This window comes from Homo sapiens, chromosome 2 (genome assembly GCF_000001405.40).
Source record: "Homo sapiens chromosome 2, GRCh38.p14 Primary Assembly".
Lineage (NCBI taxonomy): Eukaryota > Metazoa > Chordata > Mammalia > Primates > Hominidae > Homo > Homo sapiens.
This window is the reverse complement of record NC_000002.12, coordinates 161,866,772-161,890,921: the sequence shown is the minus strand read 5'-3', so window position 1 is coordinate 161,890,921 and position 24,150 is coordinate 161,866,772. Positions and strand designations below refer to the sequence as shown.

Genomic DNA, 24,150 nt, shown 5'->3' with positions numbered 1-24,150 from the left:
TGAAAAACACAGCAAATTGTAAAGACCATTGACACTATGAAGAAACAGAAGGGAATCAACTAATGGGGAAAATAACCAGCTAGCATTATAATGACAGGATCAAATTCACACATAACAATATTAACCTTAAATATAAATGGGCTAAATGCCCCAATTAAAGGACACAGACTGGCAACTTGGATAAAGAGTCAAGACCCATTGGTGTGCTGTATTCAGGAGACCCCTCTCACATGCAAAGACACACACAGGCTCAAAATAAAGGGATAGAGGAACATTTACCAAGCAAATGGAAAGCAAAATGCAAGCTGGGGTTGCAATCCTAGTCTCCAATAAAACAGGCTTTAAACCAACGAATATCAAAAAAGACAAAGAAGGGCATTACCTAATGGTAAAGGGATCAATGCAACAAGAAGAGCTGACTATCTTAAATATATATGCACCCAATACAGGAGCACCCAGATTCATAAAGCAAGTTCTTAGAGAACTACAAAGAGATTGAGACTCCCATACAATAATAGTGGGAGACTTTAACACCCTACTGTCAATATTAGACCGATCAACGAGACAGAAAAATCAACAAGGATATTCAGGACTTGAACTCAGCTCTGGACCAAGCAGATCTAATAGACATCTACAGAACTCTCCACCCCAAATCAACGGAATATACATTCTTCTCAGCACCGCATCGCACTTATTCTAAAATTGACCACATAATTGGAAGTAAAACACTCCTCAGCAAATGCAAAAGAACACAAATCATAACAAACAGTCTCTCAGACCACAGTGCAATCAAATTAGAACTCAGGATTAAGAAACTCACTCAAAACCACACAACTACGTGGAAACTGAATAACCTGCTCCTGAATTACTACTGGGTAAATAACGAAATTAAAGCAGAAATAAATAAGTTATTTGAAACCAATGAGAACAAAGACACAACATACCAGAATCTCTGGGACACAGCTGAAGCAGTGTTTAGAGGGAAATTTATAGCACTAAATGCCCACAGAAGAAAGCAGGAAAGATCTAAAATTGACACCCTAACATCACAGTTAAAAGAACCAGAGAAGCAAGAGCAAACAAATTCAAAAGCTAGCAGAAGAGAAGAAATAACTAAGGTCAGAGCAGAGCTAAAGGAGACAGAGACACACACACAAAAACCCTTCAAAAAAATCAGTGAATCCAAGAGCTGGTTTTTTGAAAAGATGAACAAAATAGATAGATGCTAGCCAGACCAATAAAGAAGAAAAGAGAGAAAAATCAAATAGACACAATAAAAAATGATAAAGGGGAGATCACCACTGATCCCACAGAAATACAAACTGCCATCAGGGAATACTATAAACACCTCTACGCAAATAAACTAGAAAATCTAGAAGAAATGGATAAATTCCTGAACACATACACTCTCCCAAGACTAAAGCAGGAAGAAGTTGAATCCCTGAAAAGGCCAACAACAAGTTCTGAAATTGAGTTAGTAATTAATAGCCTACCAACCAAAAAAAGCCCAGCACCAGATGGATTCATAGCCGAATTCTACCAGAGGTACAAAGAGGAGCTGGTACTATTCCTTCTGAAACTATACCAAACAACAGAAAAAGAGGGACTCCTCCCTAACTCATTTCATGAGGCCAGCATCATCCTGATACCAAAACGTGGCAGATGCAACAAAAAAAGAAAATTTCAGGCCGATATCCCTGATGAACATTGATGCAAAAATCCTCAGCAAAATACTGGCAAACCAAATCCAGCAGCACATCAAAAAGCTTATCCACCACCATCAAGTCTCGTTCATCCCTGGGATGCAAGGCTGGTTCAACTTACAGAAATCAATAAGTGTAATCCATCACATAAATGGAACCAATGACAAAAACCACATGATTATCCAACAGATGCAGAAAAGGCCTTCAATAAAATTCAACACCCTTTCCTGCTAAAAACTCTCAATAAACTAGGTATTGATGGAACATATCTCAAAATAATAAGAGCTATTTATGACAAACCCACAGCCAATATCATACTGAATAGGCAAAAGCTGGAAGCATTCCCTTTGAAAACCAGCACAAGACAAGGATGCCCTCTCTCACCACTCCTATCCAACATAGTATTGGAAGTTCTGGCCAGGACAACCAGGGAAGAGAAGGAAATAAAGGTATTCAAATAGGAAGAGAGGAACTCAAATTGTCTCTGCAGATGACATGATTGTATATTTAGAAAACCCCACTGTCTCAGCCCAAAATCTCCTTAAGCTGATAAGCAACTTCAGCAAAGTCTCAGGATAGAAAATCAAAGTGCAAAAGTCACAAGCATTCCTATACACCAATAACAGACACAGAGCCAAATCATGAGTGAACTCCCATTCACAATTGCTACAAAGAGAATAAAATACCTAGGAATACCACTTACAAGGGATGTGAAGGACCTCTTCAAGGAGAACTAGAAACCACTGCTCGAGGAAATAAGAGAGGACACAAACAAATGGAAAAACATTCCATGCTCATGGATAGGAAGAATCAATATCGTGAAAATGGCCATACTGCCCAAAGTAGTTTATAGATTCAATGCTATCCCCATCAAGCTACCATTGACTGTCTTCGCAGAATTGGAAAAAACGACTTTAAATTTCATATGGAACCAAAAATAGAGCCTGTATGGCCATGACAATCCTAAGCAAAGGAACAAAGCTGGAGGCATCACACTACCTGACTTCAAACTATACTACATGGAAAAACCACAGGGCACTTGTATCCAAACCAATATTTAGACCAATGGAACAGAACAGAGACCTCAGAAATAATGCCATTTATCTACAACCACCTGATCTTTGACAAACCTGACAAAAACAAGCAATGGGGAAGGATTCCTATTTAATAAATGGTGTTGGGAAAACTAGCTAGCCATATGCAGAAAACAGAAACTGGACCCCTTCCTTACACCTTATACAAAAATTAATTCAAGATGGATTAAAGACTTAAATGTAAGACCTAAAGCCCTAAAAACCCTAGAAGAAAACCTAGGCAATACCATTCAGGACATAGGCATAGGCAAAGACTTCATGACTAAAACACCAAAAGCAATGGCAACAAAAGCCAAAACTGACAAATGGGAGCTAATTAAACTAAAGAGCTTCTGCACAGCAAAAGAAACTATCAACAGAATGAACAAGCAACCTACAGAATGGGAGAAAATTTTTGCAATCTATACATCTGACAAAGGACTCATGTCCAGAATCTACAAGGAACTTCAACAAATTTACAAGAAAAAAACAACCCCAGCAAAAAGTGGGTAAAGGATATGAACAGAAATTTCTCAAAAGAAGACATTTATGTGGCCAAGAAACATGAAAAAAAGCTCATCATCACTGGTCATTAGAGAAATGCAAATCAAAACCACAATGAGATACCATCTCATGCCAGTGACAACGGCAATCATTAAAAAGTCAGGAAACAACAGATGCTGGAGGGGATGTGTAGAAATAGAAACACACTGTTGGTGGAAGTGTAAATTAGTTCAACGATTGTGAAAGACAGTGTGGCAATTCCTCAAGGATCTAGAACCAGAAATACCATTTGACCCAGCAACCCCGTTACTGGGTATATACCTGAAGAATTCTAAATCATTCTACTATAAAGATACGTTCTACTATAAAGATATAAACGTACTACTGCGTATATTTATTTCAGCACTATTCACAATAGCAAAGACTTGGAACCAACCCAAATGCCTATCAATGATAGACTGGATAAAGAAAATGTGGCACATATACACCACGGAATAGTATGCAGCCATAAAAGAGGACACGTTCATGTCCTTTGCAGGGACATGGATGAAGCTGGAAACCATCACTCTCAGCAAACTAACACAGGAAAAGAAAACCAAACACTGCATGTTCTCACTTATAAGTGGGAGTTGAACAATGAGAACACATGGACACAGGAAGGGGAACATCACACACTGGGGCTTGTTGAGGGGTGGGGGACTAGGGGAGAGATAGCATTAGGAGAAATACCTAATGTAGATGACGTGTTGATGGGTGCAGCAAACCACCATGGCATGTGTATACCTATGTAACAAGCCTGCACGTTCTGCACATGTATTCCAGAACTTAAAGTATACAAAAAAAATCAAACAAAAAAAATTAAGATTGATGATTTGGGGGTTGAGACAGCCACCAAACAATTTTTTTCTTCCTGATTGTACCCTAAATAACATTAGAAATTGTATAAAAAATAAATTCTTTCAATTAAAAAAAATCTCAGAGACTTAGTGTCAAAACGAAGCACACAAAAAAATTTAGCAGTTCTTCATGGGAAAAAAGAAAAATGTGATTTTCAATAATGTCACACTGAACATGTAATAACATTCTTAGTAAGTGATAATTTTATTGAGAGCAGTTTAAGTAGAATGACGGTGCCAAAGTCAGACTGCAATATGATAAGAAATGAATGAGTCTAAAAATATTCAGGATCTAGTAGAGACTACTCCTTCAAAACTCTCAAGATTCAGATTGAACCAACACTTCTTTAAAAGTACGTGCTTCAAAAGTACATACTGTTCTAAGTAGTAAATAATTTTTTTTAAGGATGGGGTAAATCTGGACATTCATTTCATGTGTATTTCTTCCAAGTAGCTACTATGTGTTCTGCATGTTTACTGTCAGGTTTCACTTAAGATCTAGAAGAGAGAGGAAACTGTTAGCTCAAATATCCAGAAAAAGAAAAATAACACCTCGCTTAGTATTTTGTTTGTTTTTGTTTTCATTAAAATGTATTATTTATGTTAATATGTAATGGCTTTACTATTGTTATTTATGTATTTATTTTGAGACAAGGTCTGGCTCTATTGCCCAGGCTGGAGTGCAGTGGTGCCATCTCAGCTCACTGCAACCTCCACCTCCCTGGCTCAAGTGATCCGCCCACCTCACCCTCCCAAGTAGCTGAGCAGCTGGGATTATATGCAGCTAAATTTTTTTGAATTTTTTGGTAGAGACAGGGCTTCACCATGCTGCCCAGGCTGGTCTCAAACTTGTGACATCAAGTGATCCACTCGCCTTAGGCTCTGAAAGTTCTGGGATTACAGGTGTGAGCCACTGAACCCGTTCTATTATTATTTTTAAATGAATTCATTAACACATACTTTTTAAATTTCTCAGTTTTAAGTTCTCCTATGGTAAATACCAACATATCTACATACACAAAAGTTCTTTGGGGTGCTTAGTAATTTTTGAGAATGTGAAGGGATCAACACATTGGTAGCAGTGTTGATAAGCATAATCATATGATTTATCTCTAGCAAAGCTCAACAGAAATGAAGAAAATAAATTATTGGCTTGATTCAAGATAGAATATTGGTATGATGTCTAGAATATTCAGTAATTGATTCATGTTCTAAAGATTTATTGAACCCTGACTGAGGGTCAGACACTCATAATAAGTCTAAAAATACAAAAGGAAGACAGTCTACCTAGAAAGTGTTCCAAGTACAGAGAAGGGAAAGAAAACAGAACTTAGCTCAATGGATATTTATTTGAGCACTTGGAAGAATCAGGTCATAAAAACGAATACTGAATGCTAAAATGCTAACTGTTCTCATGGAATTTATGTTTGATAATGCACTCCAATGCACTATTTTTTTTAACCAAAGTAAACTATGAATCAACATATTAAATTCTATTCTTAATGAGTACAATTGTTCTTTTCTTTTTTCTTTTTCTTTCTTATTTATTTATCTATTTATTTATTTTTGAGACAGAGTCTCGCTCCATCACCCAGGCTGGAGTGCAGTGATGCAATCTTGGCTCATTGCCATCTCCACTTCCCAGGTTCAAGTGATTCTCCCCTCTCAGCCTCTCAAGTAGCTGGGACCACAGGCACCTGCCACCACACCCAGCTAATTTTTGTATTTTTAGTAGAGACGAGGTTTCACCATGTTGGCCAGGCTGATCTCGAACTCCTGACTTCAGGTGATCCATCCACCTTGGCCTCCCAAAGTGCTGGGATTACAGATGTAAGCCATTACACCTGGCCTAGTACAATTATTCAATAGCCTTCAAAGCAATTAGATAAGCAGAACAATTGCCTCACCGAGGCTTTGAGAAATACAAATCTGTTTTCTCTTTTAAAAAATATTTAAACATTCTTTGATATTCAATCAATGTCCTGTTGTAATTAACATGTCCTATTATAACTAATGGCTCTTATCTTTTAGAGTAGCTTTCTGGTTGAGTTTCTGCTTCTCTATCCCATAATCTACAATGATTACCTAAAGCCATGCTCTGAAACTTTCAAGTCTAAATAATTGAAAAAATAGATGACTGATGCTTATGCTCAAATTTCAGTCTTTATTATGTGATTGATGCTTATTCTCAAATTAGGTAGCTCTCACTAATCAAAGAAATAGGTGGAAGCCCCTTCTCTGTTCTCATCCTAAATCTGAAATTTATAGAACATGGATGTTTCCCTGTTCTGTGTCCACTTGGTTAGTCAAGAAAACTTTGGAACTGACATCTTTCTGTCGAGAAAAATCTTGATTCCCAATTGGGGAAGTAGAGGATGAAGAGAAGAGAGATACATTGATATACATGTACTTCCCATGACATAGTAGGATCCTCTCACATTATCACGTGTCTCATGCCCCACAGATATCTTAAAATATTGCCCTAATTTCTTAGATGGGGAAACATTTTTTGTCTGAAATATAACAAAATATTAAACAAATGTATGTGAAAGTGATAATACTTAAATCATAGAATAACAATACAAATCAATATAGAAATACTAAGAGCTTTTATACTGTGAGTGTTTTCTCAGAGAGAGTTCTGCTAAATCAGGTGTATGGCCCTCATTAAGTTATTTTTTTCATCCTCCTGTCTTCTCACAAATTTCCTAAATAGAATAAGTTATTCATTACAGTGGATTGAATAATTTCCTCCCAAAATACACATCAACCTGGAGCCGCAGAATGTGGCCTTATTTGAAATAAGGATTTTTGCAGATGTAATTAAGGTAAGTATCTCAAGATGAAATTATCCTGAATTAGGATGGGCCCTAAATCCAATGATTTGGATGGATTTAGGATGGGCCCTAAATCAAATGACAAATGTCTGTCTTCATAACAGAAAATAAGAAGACACACAGAGACAACTGGGAGAAAGCCATGTGAAGATGGAGACAGAGAACAAAGGTCTATTGCCACAAGCCAGGGAAGACCAAGAGCCACCAGAATATGGAAGAGACAAGGAAGGATCCTCCCCTAGAGACTTCGAAGGGATTGTGGCCCTGCTGACACCTTGACTTCAAACTTCTAGCCTCAAAAATGTTAGAAAACAAACTACTGTCATTTTAAACCACCCAATTTGTAGTAGTTTCTTATGGCAGTCGTTGTAAACTAATACACTCATTAAGTTGGTTCCTTTTGAAAACTGAGGGAAAAAATGTTTTTCTTCTTGCTTTTGCTTTCTTGTGCATAAATATCAAAAACTAATTCATATAACACTATAAAACATAATTTGGACAGATTGAAGAATTTATAATATTTAACCCCCAAAACAAGTTCAAATTTTAGCTATTGTAAACATAGAAAAAGTAATATACAATACTAATTGGCTCTTTTTACAGAATTTTCAAATATCTGCAGCCATGTATTTCAATAAAAACATTATTAAATTATTTAGATGAAATCTAGAAGTATATAATCCCATTTGTTCATTTACAACTGAATTTTGATTTAATGCCCCTTCTGTGATCTACTGCATCTGCTCTTCCCGTTAACAATAACAACAAATTTCCATAATGTGTTGGAGAACCCAAGTAAAGGAAAATAGTGGTATGATGCTACTTTTTATGTTCTTACTTTAAAGATCTTATATTTTTGAGACATACACTTCTTTGAAGAGCTGATGAAAGCTTTTTCCAGTCCCAAAAAATCTACATACAAATTTTTTACATAGAAAAATTTACATGCTCTGTTACAGAAATCACAAGCTCCTTGAAATCTATCTACAGCTTCTCTAATAGTCCCCAGACTCCCAGGTTAAAAATATCTACATTCAGGCAACTGTAGAGAGTTGATAGATGTTGCATGCATTTTGGTGTCATGTATACTATTCAGATAAACTGCTATTGTTTTTTCTTTAGACTTCGAAATTCTTTACTCAAAACAAGATTTCCATTGATATTAACAATGGTGCTTACTTTGGTAGCACATATACCATAAAGGGAATATTAATAATATATTCTAAGTGTCACTGAAAAAATTTCTTTACACTATGAAGTTTTAAAATATTATATTCATGGGTGTTAATTTATTATCCCTTTGGGAAACATTTTTCTAAAGGAGATTTTATAGCAGAAGCATGGGAGAATGGGATTCAATACAGAGAAATCTGATTCACAACAAACTGTCATGAAAAGAGGACCTCCAAAAGTTTTAGGTATACCTAATGGGGGAAAATGTTCCCAAAGAACTTGAATAAATACCTCATCTGTCATTAGGGTTGCAATTGATCTGCCAATCTCATGGTACTGTTGACCCTTTCCCAGGGGTCCCAGAAGAATGAACAAAAATCTGTAATTAAGAAGAAAAAAAATGTTTTAAGGTAGAAATATAAAAATAATTTTAGTAATACAGAATCACTCATCTCAAAGGAATTACTGAAAATGGAGATTGTGATGGCAAATACTTCCATAGTTTTTCATAGTTCATTATTATTTTGAAAAATTTTACCATGATTGACCCTTATGCTTAAGATCCTCAAGCAATGGGAATGCATGGTTTTCCGTGTTTTTTTTTTTTATCACAGTGTTTCTCCGTTTAGTTATCTGTACAGCATGTGCAGTTGTTATTGGGAATTTTAAGGATTCTATGATCCTTAGAGAAGGAAAGTGGGAAAAGTAAAATCTGATTAGACCTTTCTAAATTGGAAGGAAGAAAACTCACTTGTATGCAAAATGGCGAATAGTTCAAAGGGGACAAAGGTAACACAGTAGCAAAACAGAGAAAATATAGAGTCAAAAAACAGTAGGTGTATGTGCAATTTTCATTATAAAAAATTATTGTCAGGAATCAAAGATCAGCCACGTAGAAGAAAATGGGGAGTTAATGATCTATTATTTATAATGCTGAGGAATAAAAATAGCATCTGCACTATAATATTCCATCTATATTAGGTCGAACATTTGGCAAATTCATCATCACAAGTGGTGCTTTTAAAGAAATCAATAGATACTCTAACTTTAGCAGACTGGTAATTGCCCTGTCTCTGAGAAGGTCAATCCTTCTGGGAAATTTTGAAAATTAAAGAATGCCCTATATTCTGCCATATCATTCTGTGGTGTTAATTTGTTAAATGGTTTATGCTGTTAAGTATGAAGACTAATGACTTCACAAGGTGTACTAAAATAGTTACTATAATTCTACTCCTCATTTAGTTGTAATCTTTAGAGATTGTACATGTTTTTACATGAGGCAAATATTACACAATTGTAGAGGATATGACAATATTTTTTGTGTGTGCCAGTGACAACTGAACCCAAGCCAATTTCTACTATGTAGAAATGTCCAGTATACATTAAAAACAGGAATGGTTTAATTCGGTAGCAGGTGCTTTATCAACTATAATAGCTTTTTAAGAAACTTCCTAACCTATGTACATCTTGCTATTTTTCAGGTTTCCATTCCATGGGCTATTTTTAAAGATCTAAAAGATTATTTTCTGACCTTTCTACTATGTGTTGCCATCGTATTAATAGGATGCCTTTTGTCTTCCCAAAAAAAGGATAATAAGAAACCCTGAATGGCTTTCTTTATTTTGTTTGTCCAACTAATCTTCCATTTTTCACCTTTCCTAACTAAATAGTCTTGTCTTTAAATCTTTTCTCATACAGTTGCTCTACAGTGGCCCTAATTTTTTTCTCCGTTGTTCTCTACACATATTTTGCTATCTCAGTATGAAATAAGGTCACTTAAACCTGACAGTTTTCACAGTAAGGGTATATAACCCCATCACGGCTTTTTTCTACTCATGGGAATTTTTCTTTTCCTTCTTTTGAAATACAAGCACTATCATTGTCGTAAATAGCCATCATTTGCTCATAGTTCACCAGACACCTTCCTAAGTGGTGGAACACAAATGCACTGCTTGGAGGACTGAAAAGAAATTTTAAACTGCTATAATAGTAACTCTACCATTAGCAAGTTTAACATCTTAGATATAAATCCCAGACTCCCAGAAACCTTGAATAGGTTACAGGTTGTCCATAGAAAACATATAGCCTGAATCACACAGTCAGATGCCACTTTAATGTGCTCAGTTCATCCTTTCCCTTTGTACATAAAAGTTGATGTGTATCAGTCATCTCAGTAACTCTCAAACAGGATAAACATAGACTTCTTTCTATAATCTGAACAGTAACTAGATTCCTCCCCCAAACCATAGTCAGACATAGGTACTTAACCACTGAATCCCGTTCCAGTCAGCTGAGCTCTTAAAAAATGAGGCCTCTCCTGGCTGTGCTGTTCCATAGTTGTAGAATATTTTATCCATAATCAAAGCATGGAGTTATATAATCTGCTATATTTTGAGTTAAGGCCAAAGATTCATAGAGGACATATATTCTACAGTTGATACAGTACCTGAACTTTTCATCAAGTAACTTGGCTAAGGTATTCAATGTTTGGAAGAGGAGGCGCACTAACAGCTTTTGAGATAGCTGTAGCATCAAACAAAGGGCACCAGCCATATGGGAACGGGGCCCTAAATATACATGTTTTGCTGTGGGAATAGGACTAGAGTAAAAGGCTATCTGCATTTTGGAATCACACTGATGGTAGAAGTATGGAAGAAAACAAGGTTCCTGGGTAAATTGCTTGGAAATTAATGTGCTAAAGTCAATATTCTGTGTTTCCTTTCTTTTTTTTATCTTTTTCTTTTTTTTACAGTTTTAGTAATGGATAGCCTTATTCTAAAAAATGAGAAAAGCATAATTCAGTTTGTATTATCCCTAAGTTGTTATTTTATTGTTAAATGAGAAACAAGTTCTGATCATCAAATTAAATTTGTACCTTTAACTCACATCCAACCACACTGCGATAATACTTCTACCAGTGTTTCTACAGACCCTGTGTGTCGGAAGCCCACTGTGCCTAGGATTGAAACATATATTTGACGCTATCCTAACGATGGCACTTACATGCATTTTGAAGGCCTTCTTATTCAAGTGTAAGCAAACCTTAGTAACTTTGCTGTTTTTGAGTTTGACCGCACTCATGCACAGGATCCTTTCTTTCTATAGCAGACAATTTAATGCAATCTTTGAGAAAAAGCTAACATGTTACCACTTCTTTTACCAAAAATGTAAAAAAAAAAAAAAAAAAAAGGATTCATATGGCTTCAGGGTACCTTGAGATGAGGAATGTGCCTAAAATGAAGCAGAAGTTTGAGAGAAGGGAGGAAAGAAGAGAATAATTTTTAAAGCACTTTTCCCCTCCTCCACAAACAAAAATTAATAGTAGTTTTGTGGATTTCACATTAGTTTCTAGTCAAAACTCTAACAGAAAATTACATTGAATCCTCATTTTCTTTCCATGAAAAGATGGTTTAAGAAAAATACAAAAGACGCTTTTATACTTTTTACCTGGTTGGGATTGGGACTTCAGCCAGTCCTTGAAGCAATACAGCTGGAGACAACCTGACAAACGCAACTACTGTTCGATCCAAGAACTCCAGTTCTCCCACTAAGATGTTCGATGCTTCAGCACCTGGAGGAATCTTTTTCATAAAATGCAGATCAACCTGCAAGCATCACCAGGTAAATATGATAAATCAAAATTGGAAAAATCTGGTAAATCATATTCTTGCACAGTGCTTCACATATAGTAATCCATGAATAAATATAGTTTAAATAAATACACACAGTTAAACATCTCATTTGCCCTTTTTCTATAATAACCTTTTTTCTTTACTTGTGGATTATTTTAACTTGTCATCAATAAGCTGAGTACTCTGGTACTTCTATTTATTATTTTTAAAAGAAGTTTCTCCAGCCTCAACAATCTTGAAATTTTAGACAGGGAAAAGTATGTGAGTTCAGTTAAATAACTATTCTTTAACCATAATTTAATTAGCATTTGCCAACAGATTTAATATTTTATACTACATTACCTAATTTTTGTACATAATACATTTTAATTGATACTCAAATATGCTTATGTCAAAAGAAATATAATCCTGTTTCTCTTTACAGTATAAATTATGACTTTAACCTTCTTCTCTTTTCTAGTTGTTCTATATTCTTCACATTATATACTTGGCCTGGTAATTCTTCAATATTGGTTTTTCATCTGAGAATTTAGATATGACACAGTAGAAAAAAATAAGAAAAAAATATTAACATTTGGAGTTACTGAAGAGCTATAGTTGAATTTCTGACATGAGATGTTTGTGATCGAAATGAATGTACACAAAGCAAAAGTGATCATTAACGAGAAGAAATGCTAAGAATAAAGGGTGAAGTCTAAAAAATGAATGCAAAATATCCTTAACAATAAATATCAATTTTTATGCATAGGGCCTCAGTGAAAGACAAGCAGTGACTTTAATGTAAATTGTACAAGATCTATGTCTTGTTTCTAATTCACTTGAGTAGCTTTTTATGAAACTCTGTTTTTAGGGGAGTAAGAATTTATCTGCTCTAGTAATTGATCTTATGCTCTGATGTTAATGAAATGAGGGCCAAAGATCAAAGTGAGAATAGCCGAGAGAGGAATGAGCTCTGGCAAATATGAGTGGGGCTGAGAAGATTTTTTTTAGCCTAGATAGTTCTTTTGCAGGTTTAATGATTTGAGAATATTTTTCTCAAAAATTTAAAATGAAAAAATCCATAGTAATACTTAGTGACTACATTAAATATGTTGCTTTCTGAAATCAAGATGATAGTACAGCTATTTGTAAGTTTTGTAACTAATTAATCTTTCCAAAGAATAAGGATACCACAAAATATATAACCTAGTATAGGAAGCATATGTTCTTTCACAAGGATTAAATATAAAAATATCCTACAGTACTCCATCAAAAATATTAAATAGAATCATTATTTTATTTTAAAGGAAAGGAAGAATGATTTAACAAAGCAAAACTGCCTATAAAAATATCTAACAAATATTATACATCCAAAATTTTTAAGCTACAAATGTACTCCAAATATAAATTTGTAAATTCATAATTAATGTACACTGGATTATATAGCAAATATTTTGCTTTTGTGGAATCTGATCTTTTAGTTTATAGATAGCAAAAGTATTTATTTACTATAATAAGTAAGGTTAAATTTCATGGGATTTATTGTGGTATTTTTGTAGGTATTTATCTAGTTAGGAGAAATGTACACATTTAAGATGCTTTAAATTAGTAATGCTTTACATTTTTATTGTAATGCCAAAATTCCCAAGGAGGGAATAGAAGATTTCCCATATACTATCAGCTCTGTGAGGAAAACATAATAAATCTCATAATCCTTTCTGTTACTAAAAGAATAAACAGTTAAGTTTTCTCTCTCAATGGAAAGAACAATGATACAATATAAATATACTGAACAAAATTTAAAATGAGAAAACATCTTTTTTTAAAATCCATAATTGATAATATGAATTATATTGATAATACCTGAAATTTAAATTCCACCTTGAAAATTCTATAAACTCATTTATTGCTTGACAAATGCCATTGTCTTAACTATGAAAGTCTGTGCCTCGGGCAACTGGTGATTATAGAAATAACTGTTTAAAGATGAAATTTAATTAAATCAAGAAGTACATAGTATGTTAAAATAGTTAAATTTTGTAAAAGAAAATATATGGTCATTACATATGATCTTTAAATTTACAAAATACCTAATATATCATTGATACCTGTTATTTAGAAAAAACATTAAAATATACAGAATTTAAATTCAGGATAAGCAAATTCATCTTTTGACTTCAAATGGAATAAGTTATAGTACTATAGCACATATCTGGGGTAGCCATTGTATTATACTCATTACATTACATTATTCTTGGAGTAATCATATACTTTGGGAAGTAATCGATTATATATTATCTAATTATATTATTCTATATTATGTATAGTTACATATTATATTATTCGTGGGGCAACCCTATATTTTGTGTTTGTGTACTATATACTTCATGAAGAAACTTATTTGACAAACCAACTATCTTTTTTGGTTTGGTTAAGTTTTTGAGACAGGGTCTCCTTGTGTCATCCAGAGTGGAGTGCAGTGGTGCGATCCCAGCTCACTGCAGCCTCGAACTTCCTGGCTCAAGCCATCCTGATCCTTCCATTTCAGCCTTCTGAGTAGCTGGGACTACAGGTGCGCCACCATGCCTGGCTGATTTTTTCTAGATTTTGTAGAGATGAGGTCTTACCATGTTGCCTAGGTTGATCTCGAACTCCTAAGCTCAAGTGATCCTCCTGACTTGGCCTCTCAAAATGCTGGGATTACAGGTGTCAGCCACCATGCCCTTGGCCCCCTAAGCAACTTTTAATATAATAAAATATTATGTTTAAAGACCTGAATGTGACCTCTTATAAAATTATAAATATGTAAAGCAGCTCTAGAGAATCTAGGTTGAACTACATCCCTAAGAAAACTGTCAAGTGAACACAAACACTTGGAATGGACAAGAAGGAAATCCTGGAAGTTTCTGGTCCTCTGAATAGGATCTTGAAGAAATCGAGCTATACTCTTCTGGGTCTGTATTTACACTCATGCTTCTGGGCTGCCCAGACCTCACCTTTATGCTGGTAGTGGAAAGATTTCTTTCTGGGCCTTTGATACTTAATCTGTGGATGAGAAACAGTTACATTTCTAGGGAACAAGGAATGAGATTAGATAGAAGACCAAGGTGAAATTGGAAGTGTCTGGGCAAACTACACGCTAAGAGTTAAAGGAAAAACAGATGGAAATTTAAGGAGAAAATTTAAGCCTTCAGCCCCTTATAGAAAGTACAAGAAACTTCATAGGGATTCTCTGGGAAGAAATGGTGTCTTGACACTAACTCGCCAGTGATCTTGAGCAGCTCTCTTAATCACTCTATAATTCAGCTTTCTTGCTGACTAAATGAGGAGATGTCTAAGGTTTCCTACAGTTCTAGGATTAAATAATACAACTCTCTCTAATATGTTTCATACACTAAAGCTAGATGCAGACGGAAGTTCTTTCTATGTAGAAAATTATGTGAAGCCATCTCTGGGTCATTTGAAGTAAAAGAAAACACCACCAACATAAAATACCTACGTTCCACTGTCAGCTTGAAAAACAAAAACAAATATTGCTTTGACACATCTGCTTTTTAAAAGTATTATGGGAAGCTAAAACCTGATAATTCCAGTTATTTTCCTAATCATTCCTTAAGTAAGTTTGATACGTCTATCCACTGGAAGGGTTACAAATATGTAGGTTGAATGTAGATGGAATAAATATGATCAAATCATATAAGATGAATAAAGACCTTTTTTTTCTTAACACCTCAAAATGTTTGGAATCTGCATATTAAGATTCTGGGGTTTTGGAATCTGTATATTAAGACTTAAAATATTAAAACAGAGAACTAACCTGGAGACTAGGTGAATTCTGATAAATTCACTACTAAACTAAAATCATAAGGCTAAAAAATATCAACTCATGCACCTGCAAAATCTGGCACTAAAATTTGTTTCCATAGTGATAGATCACAATTGCTCTTTTCAAACTCTACTTTTCTGCCCTCTCAGACTTTAAAGTAAAAAATCTTACTTAGTCTTTTTTAAATTCCAAAACTGGGCTTACATTATTTTGAATCTTGAAGGATTCATTCAACAAATATATACCAAATACTATTCAAGGCACTAAAGACCCAGTGGAGACCAAAACATTCAATTATGGTCTGGTGTTTCATTTCTGACACTATTATCTCTACTACTACTAATAACCACACTAATAAGTGTAACCACCTTTTATTAAATACCTGCTACAAGTCAAGCACTGTTCCAGCACCTCCCTCTATATTAGCTCATTAAATCTTCACAACGAAATTGTAAATAGTTTTCTTACTTTGCAAATGAGAAGGCTGAACTTTAGAGAACTTCTCCAAGATCAGCTAGTTTATAATGCCAGAGTTGGGATTCAAGATCTCATGCTGTTTCTCAAAAGCCACATTCTTTCCAGTGTGCCATGCTATGAACAAGAGACTTTCCAGTGTGCCATGCTATGAACAACAGCTGACACTAAGTAGAGGGCTCTAGAAATTTAACTTGCCTATTAAAAGATGAAACGGGCCAGTGATCGCAAATGTGAAGAGAAAGAAAAGGATTAAAAGAAAGGAAATCGAAGTTTGACTCTTCCATAGTTTTAACTGTTTGAGGGGGGACCAGAAGATGAGACTACTGCCTACAACTGGCAATCTTCATTTTCTTTCATATGTGATGAAGTATTCTTGAAGGCTGCAAAGGCAGGTCACACAACCAAAAGCAACATGATATGGAGATACACAATCAGTGTATAAAGGTTATATTATTTTTAAAAAGTTAAATCACAATTTATTTGAAAGGAGGAGCTATGTGCTTTATAATGATTGTTTCTGAGGATGTTAAATATGCCTTCTTTATGTTGTTAATGCATTTATACATAAATATGCAGCTCGTTACATTATTGCTTTTAAGATCATTTCAAATTAAGAATATCAGAAATTAAATGTATGGCAGTTTGTGACAACTTTTTCCAACTTGCAGATGAATGAAGATGCAATGCTTTAAAAAGATAGTTCTTAGAGTGGCAGATGGAATACATTTCAACTGGCTTAATGTTTGAATCACATGCCTCCATACAGTGAAATGAGCTTTGAACCACTGTAGAAATAGAGCCCGAGTATGCCCTCACCTCTCTCTCTTGCTGGTGTGGAGGTCCTTTTTCATGCCTTTGTTTCATCCCACATGGACTAGTATGCCCCTTTTGTTGGCCTCCCAGTCCCTGCACGCATAATTAACAGACTTAAGCTGGTACACCATGCTCCCACGGAGACTCCGCCAGGCACCAGAGGGAGAGCATGCACGTAACTAGATCTAGATTATTTAGGCATTGTCAGAGGGATTCTGAAACAGGTCCAAGGAGCTGATCACTATTAATCTTTTCAGAACCTTGATTCAGGCTACTTCCTCTACTGCTTCCATCCATTCCCACCTCCTCCCACTACTATAATTATTGCCAGTGCTAAGGGCTTTATTAAAATATTACTCTGAGTTACTTCTATTTCAGCCACTCAGATAAAGAGAATTGTTAACCTGCCGTATTTTCACCAAGTATTCAAACTCCTTCTCTTTTGCATTGTCTTTTTTTTTTTTTTTTTTTTTTTTTTGAGATGTGGTCTCACTCTGTCACCCAGGCTGGAGTGCAGTGACACGACCTCAGCTCACTGCAATCTCTGCCTCCTAGGCTCAAGCAATCCTCCCACCTCAGCCTCCCAAGTGGCTGGAACCACAGGCACGCGCCACCACACCCGGCTAGAAACTCCTCTTTTCCACTCAATTGTTACTTTGCCATAGCTTGCAATGGCACATATACAATGTCAGGAATTTGCTAATCAAAATCACATCATTGTCACTGACTCATTTTCTAAGAATACATTCAAGTTAATGATTTCACTTCAGTTGTCTCCAATTAGATGTATCCCTCAACACAGTCAGTTCTTAATATGTTTTTATTTAAAACTCTGCTCAGTTTTGCTGTGTCCTTCTAGGATTTCCTTACAGTAATGACTTTTCCTTAATTACATTAACAATTCAGTTTTATATTATGATTTGCTTTCCCACAAATAGAAGAAAAGTGATTTTGAACACAAACTAGCCAAAGTTTTTAAACAATAGATTAAACTTGGCCGGGCGGGGTGGCTCACGCCTGTAATCCCAGCACTTTGAGAGGCTGAGGCGGACGGATCACCTGAGGTCAGGAGTTCGAGACCAGCCTGTCCAAGATGGTGAAACCCCGTCTCTACTAAAAATACAAAAATTAGTCAGACATAGTGGTGCACGCCTGTAATCCCAGCTACTCGGGAAGCTGAGGCTTGAGAATTGCTTGAACCCAGGAGGCGGAGGTTGCAGTGAGCCAAGATTGCACCACTGCATTCCAGCCTGGGTGACAGAGCGAGACTCTGCCTCAAACAAACAAACAAAGAACAACAAACACAAACAAACAAAAATAGATTAAACTTCTGTTAAATTCCCTGTGAAGCCCAGTTATTCTTTTTATTGGAAGAGATAACATTATACCAAGTGGCTGAAACATGAATACTATGCATAAAACTCACAGGTTCAGTTTTTTTTTTTTTTTTTGAATAGGCAAAATGTTACATGTGGACTTAATGCTAACATTTTCTGTAACAATATCAAGCTTTGACAAGAAACAAAAAGCGCATGCAAAATATTGTGTCAACACCTCTTAAAATGGGTAGTAATTTCTAGTAGTAATTTAGCAACTTACTTAGATGAGAGGGAGAAAAGCTCACCTTGCTAAAGTCAACAGTGCTGTTTTCTCTGCTAACATCATTTTTATTTTCAACACAGGCTGGAGCAGACTGAGGAGAAACAACCTGACCTGCTAAAAGAGATTGTTGTGACAGAATACAAACAATTACTTACATAGTTGTAGACATACTGAGTGAAATAGGCACTTCAATTAAACTAGACTAACAGGTTTCTTAATAAATTTATGATGTAAGAATGAAGGGTCAATATAAATAAATCTATATTAATACAAACATTCTTATTATCAGTAACAGGTAGAAATGGGAGAATTCAGTAAAAAATAAACATATTTTCAGATAAAAACTCTAAAAGATTATTTTCAATAAGGATTATCTACAAAATATGTAAATGTTACCAGGATTTTGAAGCATCATTGATTTCTAGATTCCAACCAAAACTAATGGCGTATATAAAAAGACAAGATAGACATCTGTTAAGATGTAAGCTCAGCCTGAAGAATTTAAAATGTAAAGCATTAAAAAGGACGGATATTTATCTGAAAATTACACAGTATATTTTTAGGTTCTATTGCATCTAAAAAGCCAAACCAATGAAAAAAATTTCTTTGGCCATAACTCTTACAGTTTTCTATATAAGGGGGTTCAGTTAGAAATACCTTTATTTCACACAGTATGAACACTATGGATATGATTTTATGCCTCTGACTATTCTATTATATAAGCATACTGGTACTAGTCTGTGATGTGAGAAAAGATAAAAACTTGAATTGTATTAGTTTTGCATTAACAGTAAATTAAAACAAAATTATCTTGTAGTTCTTTTCCCTATTATAGGGAAGATGATGAGAATTAAGTGGATAGTAGCTCTGGGAGTGTGGCAATGGCTAGAAAAGGTTAAATTCCATCATTCACTAAATATGAAACATTGTTTGCAGTAAGTCATATGAAATTTGTTCATAGTTAGCAATGCAATGAAAATTAAACATCTCCCCATCTTTTTTTTTTCTGTGAAATGAATAAAGACAACTCAACTCTGAAGCCTTGCTCATATTTATGATAATAACTCAATGACTCAAAATACTGCTTTTATTCACGTCAGTTGTAGATGTTAGAAATACTCTCTCTGTCTGGCTCTTCTCTCTACCTACCTAAATCCCAATTTTATTCTAAATTCACCTTTAGTGTCATCTCTAATCACTTCAGTCTCTGACTGAAATTCTCTAAACTCCCAGTGTAAATGCAAAAAAACCCCACAAAAACGCTTTCCCTTAAATTCTCTCCTGAAAACCCACTTATTCTTTGTTACCTAGAAATTACCAACTGTGGTTAAAAATACTAATTATTTACTTTCAAATATTACTATAAGTTTGCTTTTTGGACTAGTAAGCCTCTCAAGCAGGGGTCATTTATTAATAGGAGTAATTTTATGGTTTAAAGTTGTTATAATGCCAGAAAGTAATAGGCTTAATATTCTTCTAGAACTTAAGGATTTCACTACTTTCATTAAAAAATGTAAAAGAATATATTTGGAGAAGATGAAAATAAAATGACTTTTTAAAATAAGTTCACCTCAAACCATGTTCACAAATTCTGAGTATAGCATATTCTAGGGAAATATATAAACTTCAGATAAATGTCACACAAGCTACATAAATTATTCTCATTCTCCCATTTCTAACCACAATGTGCAGCTATGACTGTGAACTGTTCATTAGCAGCCATTCAATTTACCATTCTCAAAATAATAACTGTAGTTTTAAAAAAATCTTTTACATAATGCATTTGTGCTACCAACAGATGTCTTCAATCACCAGTTTCACATCATTTCTCCATATTTTAATGAGTTAGAACATTAGATATATTTAAAACTAAATTTATTGAATGTTCTGTAAAATTGAGTGGTGAAACTCAAGTCATGGATAAATTAAATAAACACATATCTGCTTTCTTATAATAATTCATTTCGTGTGGTATAAATCTACATGGAAGAACAATTATTTAGTTCTATCACCAAACACATACAAAACAAAAGTCAACCCAGTGCAAAGTCATTAACTTTGAAGAGATTAAATTTTGAATTGGATAGAAAATATGCGGAACTTAACATTTGAAGAAATTGAATACCTTATGTTTTCATTTGTATACTTTAAGCAGAGCATTTCATAAATTACCTTCAGCTCAGGTAGTATGTTTAAAATATTAATACTTGTATTTCTCCTTGTAAATAATTACAGTAATTAATAATTAATATTTTATGTAATAATTATAATAATATATTTTGAGATTGTTGTATGCTATTCTTGTTCTAAAACAAGAACAATTTTAGAAAATATTACTTTATAAGGTTGATAATGAAGAAGGGATTTAGAAACTATTTTTATAAATATTTTAAGTGATGTTGATAATGACCTAGTTGAGAGTTTAACTAGCAGCAGACACATCAGATGACAGTAAACTTCTTGCTAGTCCTAGATTCTAGGTATGTGTATAGAATGTATGCTAATATAAAAAGCCATAAAAACTACTAGCCTATGACATAGACATAAAGACCACAAATTGTATATCGTTTATATTTCAGAGCAGTAGTTAAATGATAGGCGTTAATATTCATAATTAAATATATTTAATCACATCAAAAGTCCTGCGAAGTTTAAGTAGCACTTCAAATCTTGTTATTTCTTGTCTATTATTTCTAAAAATGTAAGTTAATTTGTTAAAGTTGAAACAATGTACATTAAATGTGTATATCCTCAAGGCAGTTTTCACAACTTGGTAGTATATAGAACGATGTATAGATACTATTTAAAAATTAAGCTAACAAGTTTGATTTGGGTTATTTTGAAAAAATAGAAGTCTTTTAAAAAGCTTAACATTTTATTTGCTGTATATATAAAACCAATATTCAAGCATGAATTATAGTATATAGAACTAATTGAAACCTCATAAATTAAAAATGATTTTATAGTTCTATTATCAATTGTAATCATTGTTTAAATATATTTTTCTCTATGCCAATTATTTAGTTTATGCCAATTATTACCATCTTTCAAAAGAAGATGATGGATTAAATTTCAAAATTAATTTCATTAACTGAAATACTATTACATAAGAAGAATCAATAAATTCAGATTTTGGAAGGGCATCTCTTATTTTCTTGCTGATGTCTAAGGCAATAATGGTTCACAGAATGGCAATTTTCAGGTACAGAATTTTACCTTCAGCCAGAAGTAAAAATTTTCCTAATAGAATAACAAAGAATTTGCTAGGATATTTTTCCCTCACGGAAAAAAATTAGTATAAGTTTAGGATTTAGCACTCATATATGTGTGGAAGCTTTATGAATGCTAATTGTATACTGTAATTTTTTTAAAGTGCTATACCACAGTACTTACAAACAAATGCTTTTTACCTGTTTCTTTATATTACCTTTGTCCACTGATCACTACCCATATTATTTCCTATAAATGAATGTCATTGCAATGTTCAATTATTTCTGTTTTTATAATACCTAGAAAATTTTGAGGCATGAGGATGACTATGAAAAAAAGACATTGAGTAATCTATTATATTCATGGTAAGTTATTAAAAAACTGATGAAAAGTAGATATCACTAAGGTTAACTGGTATCTGTGACTATTTAAACGTAAATGGAAACATTTGAGAAACCTAATATCTCCTCTGCTATTTACTAAATACATTTTTATGACTTGTTAAGCTCAACAGTTCTTCACCTTAAATCAAAATTTCTAATATTTGTTTGATATCTTACCAATTAAGATATATATTATATAGTATTCATATTAGCACCTGTTTGAATTACTTTTCTTTGAGTTACAAATTCATTTTTTTTTCTTTGAGTCTTCATGTAGGGATCATATGTGTCAGATAAAAAGTTATTATAGACCATGAATTTTTCTAGGGCAAATTATAATAGATATGGGGCTAGCATAGGAGAAAACTGAGAGTATTTTGAGTAAATACTAACTAGAAAAATGAAGCTGTTTTTCTGCTTGTTACACCATAAATTTTTCACTAAGTGTATTGTGAGACTGGTAAAGTCATTTTCTTTATCATACAGTTTCTTTATCATAAAGGAAGGAACATGAGATTACATCAAAAGTACTATTTCATGACTTTAATTAATAGCAGTATTTTAAAACACTTCATTATTGGAAAAAAAGGTATATTCTCAAAAACCCTGTTGAGTATTATATTAACTCATTTGTCTTTAGCTATAGTTCTCTTCTTCTTTAAGTATGCACATATGTATTATAAAACAGCAGCTTAGCAACTTTTAAATTTATAGTTGGCCAAATTCGTATCAATAGAATATATTGCATAAATGTATCATTATTTTCTACTGCTTAATCCACTGTAAATCACGTGCACTAGAAGGAAACTGGGATGAAGACATGGAGGTACATTACTATTAACCTAGAGACCAAGCTGGTTTACACTACCTCAGAAACCTTCAACGCATTTAGAGTACCCAAAGGGTAGGAGATGAGGGAGGTACAGAGATGAGATGAGCCTGTTAGAGACAGACACAAGACAGAGCAAAATAAAGAAATATAAAGATGAATGACAAAGTTACATACATGTGTAACAATACATTTATTCATGGGAATAGAAAACATGAAGAAAGAAGGGCTAAATATTTAGAAAATGCTGATTAGGTGAGCTACACTTCAAAAACATGAGAAGTATGCAAACAATTAAACTCGGAGAAAAATTAGTATGCCTGAAAATAATTAATGCAATATAAGAAATAACAAATTCAAACACTTCATACTAGAATTATGTTTGCTCTTAAAATCTAGTCTTGACATTCCAAAACTGTAATGACAATATAGCCTCTGGGCAGGCCCATCAGTTGTGTCAACAATGTCATCTTGATTTTCTTGGAGCGGTGGAAAATATCATATTTATTAAACAATGTTTAATTATTTAATATACACAAATCTTTTAATAAGTTTTCTTTCAAGCAATCTCAAGAATTATTATTCTAGCTTTATTTTTTCTTCAAAGGTAGAACATTATGAGGGATAAATTTTAAATCCTGGATATCTTATTTATGAGACCATTGTATTAAAAAAGCAAGAAAGCATATATATCTAAATACGTAAAGACAGCATGCATCTGAAAATTAAAAGTACAGCATTTGTAAAAGAAGTAACTACAATGTAATAGGTCTGATTTCCAAAACCATAAATAAATATTATGCACAATACATATGTGTACATTGCTTTAAGGGCTGAAATCTACCCAGGCCTAAAGAGTGAACTTTATGTCCCAGGCTCCCAAATCTAACTGCTTTTCAGTAACTTATGGCGTTGAACAGTAGTTAGAGACTTTCTGCACTGTAACTCCTTTTGAGATCCTAAATAAAAGGTACAACTGGAAAGTATTCAGATTAGGAGAGACAAAAGATATGTGAAGGAAAACGAACAGAGTTAGAAATTATTAGTAAAGGATAGAGCAGAATAAAGACATCCTATACTTAAGAAAACTAATAATCCCAAATTATCTTCAAAAATATAAAAATTATCATAAGGATAATAATATTTTATAATAGATTTATAATCCCAATGTCTCAAAAGGTAATTGAATACATGACCTAAATGATAAATACAG

General features: G+C 33.8%; 1 protein-coding gene and 1 long non-coding RNA gene across 29 annotated transcripts in view; one reads left to right on the top strand and one right to left on the bottom strand.

The window, feature by feature from the left end:
* The window catches only part of LOC105373722 (uncharacterized), a 29,568-nt gene extending 22,268 nt beyond the window's left edge, over positions 1 to 7,300 (top strand). For all 3 annotated transcript variants that reach the window (XR_001739758.2, XR_001739757.2, XR_923532.3), the window contains one exon: positions 7,118 to 7,300. This is a non-coding gene — a long non-coding RNA (uncharacterized LOC105373722). The remainder of the gene's footprint in view (positions 1 to 7,117) is intronic.
* The window catches only part of SLC4A10 (solute carrier family 4 member 10), a 360,855-nt gene that overhangs the window by 94,349 nt on the left and 242,356 nt on the right, over positions 1 to 24,150 (bottom strand). For 10 of the 26 annotated variants that reach the window (NM_001354461.2, NM_001354441.2, NM_001354442.2 and 7 more), the window contains 4 exons: positions 18,538 to 18,629; positions 16,917 to 17,006; positions 11,634 to 11,791; positions 8,478 to 8,565 (listed from right to left, as the gene is read on the bottom strand). In NM_001354461.2, the coding sequence (NP_001341390.1) occupies positions 8,478 to 8,565; positions 11,634 to 11,791; positions 16,917 to 17,006; positions 18,538 to 18,629 (428 nt within the window). The remainder of the gene's footprint in view (positions 1 to 8,477; positions 8,566 to 11,633; positions 11,792 to 16,916; positions 17,007 to 18,537; positions 18,630 to 24,150) is intronic. The other 16 variants (NM_001354447.2, NM_001178016.2, NM_001354445.2 and 13 more) reach the window with 3 other exon arrangements.